This window comes from Homo sapiens, chromosome 12 (assembly GCF_000001405.40).
Source record: "Homo sapiens chromosome 12, GRCh38.p14 Primary Assembly".
NCBI lineage: Eukaryota > Metazoa > Chordata > Mammalia > Primates > Hominidae > Homo > Homo sapiens.
In genome coordinates this window covers 48,438,455-48,453,723 of record NC_000012.12, presented here as the reverse complement: position 1 = coordinate 48,453,723, position 15,269 = coordinate 48,438,455, and the positions used below count along the sequence as shown (strand labels likewise).

Genomic DNA, 15,269 nt, shown 5'->3' with positions numbered 1-15,269 from the left:
TTTTATTCTTTAAAAGATACCTTAGGTTTAAATAAACTTGAGGATAAATCCTGGCTCTTCATTATCTTTAAATTTCTAGCTGTGAGGCACTGGGCAAATTAGTTTCTTTGAATATCAGAACATGAATATACACATATATATGTGTATATGTGTATATATATGTATATATATGTGTATATATATGTATGTGTATATATATACACATTTATTTATTTCCAACTTTTACTTTAAGTTCAGGGATACATGTGCAGGATGTGCAGGTTTGTTGCATAGGTAAACACTTGCCATGGTGGTTTGCTGCACAGATCATCTCATCACCCAGGTATTAAGCTCAGCATCCACTAGCCATTCTTCCTGATCCTCTCCCTCTTCCCATCCCCCACCCTCCAACAGGCCCCAGTGTGTGCTGTTGCCCACTGTGTATCCACGTGTTCTCATCATTCAGCTCCCACTTATAAGTGAGAACATGTGGTGTTTGGTTGTCTGTTCCTGCATTAGTTTGCTAAGGATAATGGTCTCCAGCTCCATCCATGTTCCTGCAAAGAACATGATCTCGTTCCTTTTTATGGCTGCATAGTATTCCATCATGTATGTACCACATTTTCCTTATCCAGTCTATCATTGATGGGCATTTAGCTTGATTCCATGTCTTTGCTATTGTGAATAGTGCTTCAGTGAACAGACATGTGCATGTGTCTTTATAACAGAATGATTTATATCCCTTTGGGTATATACTCAGTAATGGGATTGCTGGGTTGAATGATATTTCTGTCTCTAGGTCTTTGAGGAATCATCACACTGTCTTCTACAATGGTTGAACTAATTTACACTCCCACCAACGGTGTAAAAATGTTTCTTTTTTGCCACAATCTTGCTAGTTCTGTTATTTTTAATAATAGACATTCTGGTGTGAGATGGTATTTCATTGTGGTTTTGATTTGCATTTCTCTAATGATCAGTGATGTTGAAGTTTTTTTCATATGTTTGTTCATCACATGTATGTCTTCTTTTGAGATGTATTTGTTCATGTCTTTTGCCCACTTTTTAATGGAGTTGTTTGTTTTTTCTTGTAAATTTGTTTAAGTTCCTTATAAATGCTGGATACTAGACCTTTGTCAGATGCATAGATTGCAAAAATTTTCTTCCATTCTGTAGGCTGTCTATTTACTCTGTTGATAGTTTTTGTTGTCGTTGTTGTGTTTTTTTCTGTGCAGAAGCTCTTTAGTTTAATTAGATCCCATTTGTCAATTTTTGCTTTTGTTGCAATTGCTTTTAGCATCTTTGTCATGAAATCTTTGCCTGTGCCTATGTCCTGAATGGTATTGCCTAAGTTTTCTTGTAGAGTTTTTACAGTTTTGGGTTTCACATTTAAATCTGTAATCTATCTTGAGTTGATTTTTGCATATGGGGTGAGGAAGGGGTCCAGTTTCAACTATCTGCGTATGGCTAGGCAGTTCTCCCAGCACCATTTATTAAATAAGAAATCCTTTCCCCATTGCTTGTTTTTGTAAGATTTGTTGAAGATCAGATGCTTGTAGGTGTGTGGTCTTATTTCTGGGTTCTCTATTCTGTTCCATTGATTTATGTGTCTGTTCTTGTACCAGTACTAGGCTGTTTTGGTTACTGTATCCCTGCAGTATAGTTTGAATTTGGGTAGAGTGATACTTCCAGCTTTGTTCTTTTTGCTTAGGATTGTCTTGGCCACTTGAGTTCTTTTTTGGTTCCACATGAATTTTAAAATAGGTTTTTCTAATTCTGTGAAGAATATCAATGGTAGTTTAATGGGAATAGCATTGAATCTATAAATTATTTTGGACAGTATGGCCATTTTCACAATATTGATTCTTCCTATTCATAAACATGGAATGTTTTTCTATTTGTGCCATTTCTGATTTCTTTGAGCAGTGGTTTGCAGTTCTCTTTGAAGAAGTCCTTTGCTTCCCTTCTTAGCTGTATTCCTAGGTATTTTATTCATTATGGCAATTGTGAATGGGAGTTCATTGTGATTTGGCTGTTGGCTTGCCTGTTGTTGGTGTATAGGAATGCTAGTGATTTTTGCACATTAACTTTGTATCCTGAGACTTTGCTGAAGTTGCTTATCAGCTTAAGAAGCTTTTGGGCTGAGATGATTGGGTTTTCTAGAAATAGGATTATGCCATCTGCAAACAAAGATAGTTTGACTTCCTCTTTCCTATTTGAATATCCCTTATTTCTTTCTCTCGCCTGATTGCCCTGGCCAGAACTTCTAATACTATATTGAATAGGAGTGGTGAGGGAGGGCAATTTTGTCTTGTGCTGGTTTTCAAGGGGAGAATGCTTCCAGCTTTTGCCCATTCAGTATGATATTGGCTGTGGGTTTGTCATATGTGGCCCTTATTATTTTGAGGTATGTTCCTTCAAAACCTAGTTTATTGAGAAGTTTTTTTTTTTAATATGAAGGGATGTTGAATTTTATCAAAGCCTTTTTATGGATCTATTGAGATAATCATGTGGTTTTTGTCTTAATTCTCTTTATGTGATGAATCACATTTACTGATTTGTGTATGTTGAACCAAACTTGCATGTCAGGGATGAAGCCAACGTGATTATGGCAGATAAACTTTTTGATGTGCTGCTGGATTTGGTTTGGTAGTATTTTATTGAGGATTTTTTCTTTGATGTTCATCAAGGATATTGGCCTGAAGTTTTCTCTCTCTTTTTTTTAAATATCTTTGCCAGGCTTTGGTATCAGGATGATGCTGGCCTCATAGAATGAGCTAGGAAGGAGTCCCTCCCTTTCCATTTTTTGTAATAGTTTTAGTGGGAATGGTGCCAGCCCTTCTTTGTACCTCTGGTAGAATTTAGCTGTGAATTCGTCTGGTCTTGGCCTTTTTATGGTTGGTAGGCTATTTATTACTGCCTCAATTTCAGAACTTGTTATTGGTCTGTTCCAGGATTCAATTTCTTCCTGGTTCAGTGCTGGGAGGGTGTATGTGTCCAGGAACTTGTCCATTTCTTCTAGATGTTCTAGTTTATGTGCATAGAGGTGTTGATAATATTCTCTGATAGTTGTTTGTATTTCTCTAGGGTCAGTGGTAATATCCCCTTATCATTTCTGATTGTGTTTATTTGAATCTTCTTTCTTTTCTTCTTTGTCTAGCTAGCAGTCTATTTTATTATTTTTTCCAAAAAACTAGCTCCTGGATTCATTGATCTTTTGAAGGGTTTTCTCATGTCTCTGTCTCCTTCAGTTCAGCCTTGATCTTGGCTATTTCTTGTGTTCTGCTAGCTTTGGGGTTGGTTTGCTCTTGGCTCTCTAGTTCTTTTAGTTGTGATGTTAGTTTATTAACTTGAGATCTTTTTAGCTTTTTGATGTGGGCTTTCAGTGTTATACATTTCCCTCTTAACACTGCTTTAGCTGCATCCCAGAGATTCTGGTATGTTGTATCTTTTGTGCTCACTAATTTCAAAAGACTTCTTGATTTCTGCCTTAATTTCATTATTTAGTCAAAATTCATTCAGGGGCAGGTTGTTCATATACATATATATTTTGACTGTTAGAAAGGATTGTTTCTTCTCCATTCCTCTAGTTTTAAAATGGTTAGATTTACAGCATTAATGCAATGTATTAGTTAGTTTTCATGCTGCTGATAAAGACATACCCAAAACGGGGAAGAAAAAGAGGTTTAATTGGACTTACAGTTCCACATAGATGGGGAGGCCTCAGGATCATGGCAGAGGGTGCTTCTTACATGACAGCGGCAAGAGAAAAATGAGGAAGAAGCAAAGGCAGAAGCCCTTGATAAACCCATCACATCTCATGAGACTGGCCCCCATGACTCAATTACCTCCCCCTGGGTCCCTCCCACAACACGTGGGAATTCCAGGAGATACAATTCAAGTTGAGATTTGGGTGGGGACATAGTTGAGATTTGGGTGGGGACACAGCCAAATCATATCATGGAACAATTTTATAATTGAATCTTCAGAAGATGTTTTATTAATATCCATTAATTAAAATTTTATGTGAAAAAATATCAGGTTATCTCAACAGATCAGAAAAGCATTCAGTTAAATTCAACTCTTATTTATTATAAAGGTCTTAGCAAACTGGAAATAGTAAGGAACTTTCTTAACATGGTAGAGTACAAAGCCTAGTGAAAACTTTTACTTAAATATACATTTTAGAAATGAGGACTAAATTCTGATTTGTTCTTATCTTGCCCAAATTCCTATCTAAGCAGTCTGGGGAGTCATGGCCTACAAACCATAAATTCTCATGAGATGGGTTTTATTTAACCCAATATAGTGACTTACTTTCCAACTTGACTCTGGAGTAATATTATGTGACAAAAAAGAAAACGAAAGTATTTTACCTCAAAACATGTTTCTTTGCATTATTTTGAAATGGCCCCATGAAGCCATCCTTTGTGGGGGAAAATTTGCATCTGTAAAGAATCTCTATTAACATCTTTTGATAGATAATAGCTAGATCTTTTTCTTTCAGGCCTTCCCACTCCTGAAGAGATGAACTGAGAGTCTAGCATATTTTAAAGGTCTGAATAGGAAACAGTTGTCATCTATTGTCTCTAAGGGCAGCCACTATGAGACTTCAAAAGGACCTTGATTTCCATAATCTTCTATCTCAACCTGAATGTTTCCTTTCTATTGATCCCAGGTCTTTAGACAAACTCAACCAATTGTCAACCAGAAAATGTTTAAATTTGCCTATAGCCTGGAAGCTACAGCCCATAGCTGCCCCCTCTTCAAGTTGTTCTACCTTTCTGGACCAAACCAATTTATTTCTAAATTTGTATTTGATTGATGTCTCATGCCCCCCTAAAATGTATAAAACCAAGCTGCACCTGACCACCTTGGGCACATGTTCTCAGGATCCCCTGAGGGCTGTGTCATGGGCCATGGTCACTTATATTTGGTTCAGAATAAATCTCTTCAAATATTTTACAGAGTTAGACTCTTCATCAACAGAAGTATTGTATTCAATTAAAATAAGGCAAGCATGGCCACTCACCTCTACAACTAAACATTGTATTGAAAGTCCCAATTAATGCAATATGACAAGGAAATAAAATAATTTAAAATGTAACAACGGGAAAGAGAGAGAAAAAGGGCTTGTTATTATTTGAAGATGATGTGCTTGTCTACATAGAAAATCCTATAAAATATGCAGATAAACCAAAACATGTTCAAATTCTTACTTGTTCTTTAATCTTCTGAAAAATGCAGAAATGTAGTATAATCATATAATGCGACACTTTATAACAATTAAATGAATGAATTATTTTTACATATATCAACCTGGATAAATTTCTAAAGCAAGTTGAATGAAAACAAGGTAATTTCAGAATGTCACATATAACAAGAGACATTTATGTAAAGTTTTTAAAAACAGACATGTGTAATAAAAATATAAAAGCATACATGGGGAAATATATTCATTTTCTACTGCTGTGTAACAAATGAAATTACAATAAATATAGCAAACTAAAACAATACATATTGATTAGCTCATGGCTCTATAATTCAGGAGTCCAGGTACCGAGTGGCTTACATGGTTTCTCTGTCAGAGTCTCACCAAGCCTAAACAAAGGTGTCATCAGGGCTGCATTCCTTTCTGGAGGTTCTGGGAATGAATCTACTTCCAAGCTTAGACTGATAGCTGATTTTTTTCAGTTGCGGGACTGAGGTCTCTGTTTTTTTTGCTAGCTGCCAGCTGGGGGCTGGTCTTTGCTCCTAGAGGCTGCCCACATTACTTCTCATGCATTCTGTGTGTCCCTCATTGAGCAACAAACAATAGGTCACTTCCTCTTATGCTTTAAATCTCTTTGACTTCCATTTCTATCACATCTCTCTCACACCAGTGGGAGAAAGTTTTCTGCTTTTAAAAACTCATGTGATTAGATTAGATCCACCTGGATAATCCAAGATAATCTCCCTATTTTAAGGTCTATAACTTTAATGACATCTGCAAAATCTCTTTTGCCATGTAAGGTAGCAGTCATAGACTTCAGAGATTAGGGCATGGACATCTTTAGAAGACAATTCTGCTACCACGGGTAGCAGAAGAAGCTACACGAGAAACCATATTCTAACTTTAGGATAGTGGTTATGTATGGATAGGGAGGAATAGATTAGAGAATGGTATAAAAAAGACTTCAGTTCTATAATTTCCTACTTTTGAAAATTGGAATCCTAAGCAAAGGAAGGGCAAGTCTGGAGGAGCAAGGCTTCTGAGGAAGCAGAATAATCTATCTAAAGCACAGGTAGAGGCATTTATTTTGAATTGAGAAGAGATGTCTTCTCTATTGTATTAGTCAATTGGACTGCTATAGCAAAACACCATAGTCTAGTGCCTTAAGCAACATAAATCTATATGCTCACTGTTCTGGAGGATGGGAAGTCCAAGATCAAGGTATAGCCACTTCCTGGCTTGTAGATGGCCACCTCCTCACGGTGTCATCATGGGGTGGGGACACACACACACACACACACACACACACACACACACACAGAGTAAGAGAGAGAGAGAGAGAGCTCTCATATCTCTTACAAGGGCACTAATCCCATCACATTAGACTTGTAGCAAGAAGACAGAAGACAGTGTAGTGATATCTTCAAATTACTGAATAAAAAATAACTCCCTGTTAGAATTCTGTGCCAGTAGTAAATCCTTTAAGAATTAAGGTGAATTATATATATCACTAAAAGACTTGCACTAAGAGAAAATTTAAAAGGAGGACTTCAAGGAGAAAGAAAATGCTCATAGATGGAAGTTCTTATTTTCTTCTTACCTATCTTTTGAGTCACTAAAATTTCTTCTGCTTTGTCTATTTTGTGTCAAATGTATCCACTGAAATCTCAGTTTCAGCTATTAAGATTTTCAGTTCTAGACGCAGAAAAGTTGAGCAAAAAACCAAAAGTTAAATATGTGGGTAGATTTGAATTATTATTGATTGCCTAATAATAATAACAGCATATGTATAATAATCACTATTTTTAATATATCTAGTAATTAAATACATGGCAATATTGGCAAGATGATCTAAAAATAAGCCGTGAGTCACTTAGCTTCAATGGGAATTCCCGGTGGAATCAGCTAGTAACCATTTTTAGCTAATGAGCTTAGTGTTTGCTTCATGCTGAGCTTTCTAATCAGGATGGGCCCAGCTGCCCCCAGGGTTTTCAGATCATACTTTGCCATCCCTTTGGCCAACTTAACCCAGCAGCCCTTCTGAATGGCTAGACCTGCGCCTCCTTTGTTAGCATGATGCTCTTAGTACTATATTAACAGGCATAGAGAAATGATTGTGTAATTATGCCAGGGGAAGTATGAAAGAAGTTGCTGTTAAGAATTTGAAGGTTTCTAGTTTCCCTTTCTTTGTAGTTTTGGAGTTGTTACAGCATAAGAGCAAAAATGCTGTCAAACTTCAGAAAAGCTTTTTAAAGTCTTTACTTCCTGGAGCTTTTGAGGAATGAGCTTATGTATTTCTCTTTATGCAAAAAAGGTCTTAAAAAACAATGTCAGCTCACAAGATCAGACAGTTGTGGTACATTTTCTCGCCTGTGAATTTCTCCCAAGTTCAGAGGCACACCCACCAACTCAGAAAAACAGGATACATTGTGCACCAGGAAAAGACAGAAGTATGGTTATGTTTTCCGTCTGTCCTTTCAGGATTTTCCCTGCTACTTTGTTCCCCTCTGTTTCTACTACTTCCTGCCATTCTTCCATCAGGCACTTCCTTTCCCTGTCAGTCCTCTCATCTGATCTTTGTTCTCATGGTATTTAAGAGGTATTTAAGGGTACCCTCCCCACTCTCTCAATATGGTGTCCATTTGTGTTACCTAAGATGTTTTGGTCTGCTCCTCAACATCACTTCGCTTCCTCCTTTTGGGAAAATGAAACACTTGGATTGGGAGTGAAGAAAAGAGAATTTGATGATTCTTCAGCCCCTCAATTGTCTTCAGCACTATACTCAAGTTAGCAATTAAGACCTCACCACTTTGCAGGGTAGTTATTGCTTGATTCCGTTGTACAAATGGCACAACTGAGACAAGATCTCTTTCCTATATCTTGCTATATTCCTTGTTTCTGGTGCTGAAAGCCCGCATTATGCCAGAAACCTGGAAGTTTGGGGAGGCTAATACTTGAGAGCTCTCTATAAGGGGTGGGAGGAGATGAGGACTTCAGCGATAGACTCTGGGCACTTTGTGACTCAAAAAGAACCCTCTCCCAGAACTCCAAACATGAGATTCAGAAACTAACCATATCTTTAATTATGGATATCCCCTATAATTATATACTCTGAGGTATGCGAAAGTGCAGAACAGAGCAAAACACACTGCTTTGGGGCAAACCTGTCCAGTTGGTGAAATTCTTCTCTATTACCTTTACTATATCTGGCTTAATGCAAGCCCAGGGAGTCTAAAATCCTCGACTGGCTCCCAATTAGGTCTGTTCTCGGTGAGCAGCAAAGCCCTAGACTATTCTCTTCCTGAGCCATATTCATTCACATACTCATCCGTTCATCAATGTATTAATTTTTTTTTTTAAGAGACGGAGTCTCGCTCTGTCGCCCAGGCTGGAGTGCAGTGGCACGATCTTGGCTCACTGCAAGCTCTGCCTCCCGGGTTCACCCGCCATTCTCCTGCCTCAGCCTCCCGAGTAGCTGGGACTACAGGCCCAAGCCACCACGCCTGGCTAATTTTTGTATTTTTAGTAGAGCCAGGGTTTCACTGTGTTAGCCAGGATGGTCTCCATCTCCTGACCTCGTGATCCGCCCACCTCGGCCTCCCAAAGTGCTGGGATTACAGGCGTGAGCCACTGCGCCCGGCCATTCATTTGTATTTTTAAATAATATATTTGGAGCAACCTTTGTGACTGCCACAGTACTAGATACTTTTGTATGTCTCATTCTTAAAAAAGTTCCTCTCAGGCAGGCCTTTTTGGGAAAGATCTAGTCAGCTGACTCCAACTGATTGTATCAATAACCATAGTGGTAGCATTCTCAGAGCTGTTTCCATTCTAAATTTGGATTCAGAGTTTGAATAGATGAAGCAGTGAGAATAGTGAAATTGCAGCAGCGGGTTAAAAAAAATAAGACATGACTTTATTTATTCCTGTGACCCCTTGAATAATGCTAACGCAGTATTTTTCTTTCTGTGAGGAAGTCTAGGCCCTGACAGGCTAGAATTTCCAACTTTGTCCTTTGTGAAAATGTCCTTTGTAAGATTTTCACTCTTTGACCTTCATTTCTAAAGGAGAAATTCCCCCCACGATTTAAGTTTCTAGTGCTGGTGAATGGGGCTCCATCTGGAGACAAGTGGAAAAGAGGAGACCTTTCTTTTTGCTGCCCTCCAAATTATAATGAGTGATGCGGTTCTGTGTCTGCATTTCTTGATTTGATTCCCTGACTTTCCAGCATCTTCTGCCAATGATGTGATGTTCTCAAAAAGAATCCAGGTTGCTCTAGCTAGAGCTACACTGGTGAGTAAAAGAAAAACAATTAAAATAATATGGAAAATGCATTCCCCACATGACAGAAGTATTTAGGTTTTCAGAAATAATACACACTATTTAACCTTTTATTTTCCTCTTTTAGGAATCAAGGAAGAGATCTATATCCAACAGGAATTTTCAAACTCCCAACTTCATAATTCTCACATTGATATTCAAACTTATTAGTCTGGACCTCTGGATTTGAAAAAGTTTTTCTTTAATTCTGTGCTGTTTATTGTTAAACTGGGTAAGAAATGCAGGTAGTATGGACTCGATTCCAAAGAATAGCATTAATGCTGGGCGGTGTTTGGATAAACAGTGGGAGAGAAACCATAAGTCCTTTGAGAATGAATGTGCCTGTTTTGCAGTATGAACACAAAAGATAGAGCAGAATAGGAAGGGCCAAAATGGTGTAGTCAGTAGAGCTGAAGGGTTCTCCTGAGTCTGTGATTTTAATCTGGGCTGTCACTGCAGAGTAGGCAAAAAAGAAGACCACACTTTAGGGTTAGTAGGTAATCTATGTTTACAAATGCACGAGGGTACAGACAAGAGCTGAACCTGAATCTGAATAGATCACATATAGATTAAACGGGGCATGGAGATTATGACTGGAGTATGTTCCTATATTGACCAACAGTTTCTCATGATCACTTACATAGCATTGGAGGTCTCTCTGTGCTGCCTTCTCTCTGATTATTTCCCTTTCTCTGTACTCTGCAACTCTCCAATCACAATCCCTTTTCACTTTCCATGACTGACCTCACTTAAGTATTTATTGAAAAAGTAAAAGTCAGTGGATGGAAATTGCTTCCTCCCCAACACCAAATCTGCTCGCCTCATGCTGTCAGAAGGATGAAGCAAACATGCTCCCACCTAAAGCCATGCTCTACTTCAGCTCTAACACCCTCAGAGACACCATTTCTGCCATTTTAATCTTATTTTTCCTTCAATCTCTCCCTATTAGATCATTAGCAATAGTTTACAAACACTCTCTAGTAGCCTTAATAATAAAACAACAGCAACAACAAACACTGAAACATTAAAGAAAGAACATAAAAGTAGAGAGAGAGAGAATCTAAGGTTGGGGTCTTGCAGAAAAGATGATCACAGGTTTAGGAAATATAGGGACAGAGTAGTTTATCATTTCTGCATATGAATGTTTAGGTAAGCAAGAAAATTTGTGAATAGAGAAGAGGGTTAAAACACTTAAATATTTGTTAGGCATAAGAAGAGGCTTCACTCAATTTATTTATCTTATTCCAAATAAAATACTGAAGGCAATGAGAAACCGCAGTGTTGTCCCTGAGTTTGTCCTCCTCGGGCTGTCAGCTGGCCCCCAGACCCAGACTCTGCTCTTTGTGCTGTTCGTGGTGATTTGCCTCCTGACTGTGATGGGAAACCTGCTGCTGCTGGTGGTGATTAATGCTGATTCTTGCCTCCACACACCCATGTACTTCTTCCTGGGACAATTGTCCTTCTTGGATCTCTGCCATTCCTCTGTCACTGCACCTAAGCTGTTGGAGAACCTCCTGTCTGAGAAGAAAACCATCTCAGTAGAGGGCTGCATGGCTTAGGTCTTCTTTGTGTTTGCCACTGGGGGCACTGAATCCTCCCTGCTTGCTGTGATGGCCTATGACCGCTATGTTGCCATCAGCTCTCCTTTGCTCTATGGCCAAGTGATGAACAGACAGCTGTGTTCAGGGCTGGTGGGGGGCTCATGGGGCTTGGCTTTTCTGGATGCCCTCATCAATATCCTTGTAGCTCTCAATTTAGACTTCTGTGAGGCTCAAAATATCCACCACTTCAGCTGTGAGCTGCCCTCTCTCTATCCTTTGTCTTGCTCTGATGTGTCAGCAAGTTTTACCACCCTGCTCTGCTCCAGCTTCCTGCATTTCTTTGGAAATTTTCTCATGATATTCTTGTCTTATATTTGCATTTTGTCCACCATCCTGAGGATCAGCTCCACTACAGGCAGAAGCAAAGCCTTCTCCACCTGCTCCTCCCACCTCACTGCAGTGATTTTCTTTTATGGCTCCGGATTACTCCGCTATCTCATGCCAAATTCAGGATCCATTCAAGAGCTGATCTTCTCCTTGCAGTACAGCGTGATCACTCCCATGCTGAATCTCCTCATTTACAGCCTGAAGAACAGGGAGGTGAAGGCAGCTGTGAGAAGAACATTGAGAAAATATTTCTAGTGTTTCAATAGACTTATGAAATCAGAATGATGAGGGAACTGGATAGAACTGCAACAAGCAGTGCATGGACACTAGGATAATTCCTTGATGTCAGGATCTGTGAGGTCCTTTTCTGAAAAATATTTAAGAAAAGGTGGAAAATTTACCTTTTCTGAAAAATACTGAAGAAAAGGTGGAAAATTTACCTTTTCTGAAAAATACTGAAGAAAAGGTGGAAAATTATTTTCTTGGGATGATACCAGTTCAGTCCTAGTCAGAAGAAGATGGATAAGCCTCTTGCTTAGCAATTTTTTATTACAAGGATATGTATTTATTATACACAGTATGGTAAACATTGTTATTGTCTGCTCAGCTTATCTCTACCATTCCTCTAATAACTGAACTCTATGGTTCAATATGCTTCCAAGAGACACTGTTAATCATGGAATCCCCAAATCCTCTCCACCCTCACCTCCCCACCCCCAACCCCTGTCATTATTCACTCATTCTTCCTGGCACAGTGACTGGTCCAGAAATGGGCACATGGTCAATGTCAGATCATTTACTCTCTTAGGATTTTTTTTTCTTTTAAGACGGCCTCTTTTGGTCGCCCAGGCTGGAGTGCAGTGGCACGGTCTCTATTCACTGCAACCTCCGCCTCCCAGCTTCAAACGATTCCCCTGCCTCAGCCTCCCAAGTAGCTGGGATTACTGTCTTAGGAATTTTAGTCTAAAGGAGAGAGTCAAAGGTCAGCCTTTTTGCATGCAGCACTCTGACAGCCTACGCAAATGCCCTTGCTGATAAGATCACTAGAGTTATCCTAGATTCTGCCCTTTCAAGGCCAGATTTATAAACATGAATCATAATAAGAGTTCATTCTTAGATATTTGCATCCTATCAGGCACTGTGTTAAGCAATTTATATTCTTTATTCCATTTAAATACCACAACACATACGTTAGATAAATGCTTAAGTTATTCCTATTTCAGAGAAGAGGAAACTGGCTCAGGGAGATAAATCGTGGTGTTAGAATTTGGAACCAATGGGACTTGCACAAATGCCTGTTTTCTTTACCACCTTGATACACTGACTATCCCACTGAAGCTGTGAGCTACCCCAGACTCCATACATGAATTCTCCTTTTAATGATTTATTATTGTTATCTTATTTTATTTTGCTTAAGTCAGTCAGAATTAGATTCTGTCATTTGCAAGGAAAGGCCCTAAAAGATAAATATTGGTACCACAATAGAATTGCAAGTATAGACATCTGAGGACAATTGGGATCTGTGAAATTGTGTTTTGGACCTAGGCATGTCCCATAGAGACTGTAAATAACATGTTGGTTTATCCTGCTTCAAACTATTCATCCAATGGCCAACCATCTGTAGCTATGAGGGGACCTATGTATAACCAGAGATGATTCACCAGCTCATACACATTGCTAGACAAGTAGCTCTGCCGCTTGGCCCTAATAATGCTGTAGAAATGGTAGACCATGAGAGAGCTAATGGCAGAGGAAGGACTGGGCAGAGCCTGTGGCAAACTTCAAAAAGAAACCAGAAACATTTAACAAAGACCCTTTAGATGATGAAACACAATTGGAGGATTAATGAGAACTATATTTGAGGGAGGCATGTGGACTAAAATTATCATGGTCCAAAATTAGTTATTCTTTCTAATTACCTTTTACTTTTTATTTATTTACAAGCTGGCAAGTGTCATCCTTCCCTTCACCTTGAACTCCTCAGCATAAACTCAAAGAGAACAAGGACATTTTTCTGCCATCTTTACTACCTTCTCAAGAATACTTTCTTTTTTTTTTTTGAGATGGAGTCTCACTCTGTCACCCAGGCTGGAGTGCAGTGGCACGATCTCGGTTCACTGCAACCTCCGCCTCCCAGGTTCAAACAATTCTCCTGCCTCAGCCTTCCGAGTAGCTGGGATTACAGGCGCCTGTCACCATAGTTGGCGAATTTTTGTATTTTTAGTAGAGACAGGGTTTCGCCATGTTGGCCAGGCTGGTCTCGAACTCCTGACCTCAGGCCATCCACGCACATCAGCCTCCCAAGGTGCTGGGATTACAGGCATGAGCCACCGTGACTGGCCAAGAATATTTTTATTTCTTATTTTTTATTTTTTTATTTTATTATTATCATACTTTAAGTTTTAGGGTACATGTGCACATCGTGCAGGTTCATTACGTATGTATACATATGCCATGTTGGTGTGCTGCACCCATTACCTCATCATTTAGCATTAGGTATATCTCCTAATGCTATCCCTCCCCACTCCCACCACCCCACAACAGGCCCCGGTGTGTGATGTTCCCCTTCCTGTGTCCATGTGTTCTCATTGTTCAATTCCCACCTATGAGTGAGAACATGCGGTGTTTGGTTTTTTGTCCTTGCAATAGTTTGCTGAGAATGATGGTTTCCAGCTTCATCCATGTCCCTACAAAGGACATGAACTCATCCTTTTTATGGCTGCACAGTATTCCATGGTGTATATGTGCCACATTTTCTTAATCCAGTCTATCATTGTTGGACATTTGGGTTAGTTCCAAGTCTTTGCTATTGTGAATAGTGCTGCAATAAACATACGTGTGCATGTGTTTTCATAGCAGCATGATTTATAATCCTTTGGGTATATACCCAGTAATGAGATGACTGGGTCAAATGGTATTTCTAGTTCTAGATCCCTGAGGAATCGCCACACTGACTTCCACAAGGGTTGAACTATTTTACAGTCCCACCAACAGTGTAAAAGTGTTCCTGTTTCTCCACATCCTCTCCAGCACCTGTTGTTTCCTGACTTTTTAATGATTGCCATTCTAACTGGTGTGAGATGGTATCTCATTGTGGTTTCGATTTGCATTTCTCTGATGGCCAGTGATGATGAGCATTTTTTCATGTGTTTTTTGGCTGCATAAATGTCTTCTTTTGAGAAGTGTCTGTTTGCCCACGTTTTGATGGGGTTGTTTGTTTTTTTTCTTGTAAATTTGTTTGAGTTCATTGTAGATTCTGGATATCAGCCCTTTGTCAGATGAGTAGGTTGCAAAAATTTTCTCCCATTCTGTAGGTTGCCTGTTCACTCTGATGGTAGTTTCTTTTGCTGTGCAGAAGCTCTTTAGTTTAATTAGATCCCATTTGTCATTTTGGGCTTTTGTTGCCATTGCTTTTGGTGTTTTAGACATGAAGTCCTTGCCCATGCCTATGTCCTGAATGGTATTGTCTAGGTTTTCTTCTAGGGTTTTTATGGTTTTAGGTCTAACATGTAAGTCTTTAATCCATCTGGAATTAATTTTTGTATAAGATGTAAGGAAGGGATCCAGTTTCAGCTTTCTACATATGGCTAGCCAGTTTTCCCAGCACCATTTATTAAATAGGGAATCCTTTCCCCATTGCTTGTTTTTCTCAGGTTTGTCAAAGATCAGATAGTTGTAGATATGCATCATTATTTCTGAGGGCTCTGTTCTGTTACATTGGTCTATATCTCTGTTTTGATACCAGTACCATGCTGTTTTGGTTACTGTAGCCTTGTAGTATAGTTTGAAGTCAGGTAGCGTGATGCCTCCAGCTTTGTTATTTTGGCTTA

At 39.1% G+C, this 15,269-nt stretch overlaps 1 protein-coding gene and 1 pseudogene across 2 annotated transcripts in view, besides 1 other annotated feature; one reads left to right on the top strand and one right to left on the bottom strand.

The window, feature by feature from the left end:
- C12orf54 (chromosome 12 open reading frame 54) overlaps positions 1-15,269 on the bottom strand; it is an 83,371-nt gene that overhangs the window by 42,801 nt on the left and 25,301 nt on the right. The window lies entirely within an intron of this gene.
- Positions 6,318-6,522: a silencer, noted in NCBI's record as "fragment chr12:48840985-48841189 (GRCh37/hg19 assembly coordinates)". NCBI's record gives its function as "represses an EF-1alpha promoter that drives an FKBP-Casp9 reporter gene in an ReSE screen in phorbol 12-myristate 13-acetate-treated (for megakaryocytic differentiation) K562 erythroleukemia cells {active_cell/tissue: K562(+PMA)}" and the evidence as "EXISTENCE:reporter gene assay evidence [ECO:0000049][PMID:32094911]".
- Positions 10,778-11,692, top strand: OR8T1P (olfactory receptor family 8 subfamily T member 1 pseudogene; annotated as a pseudogene).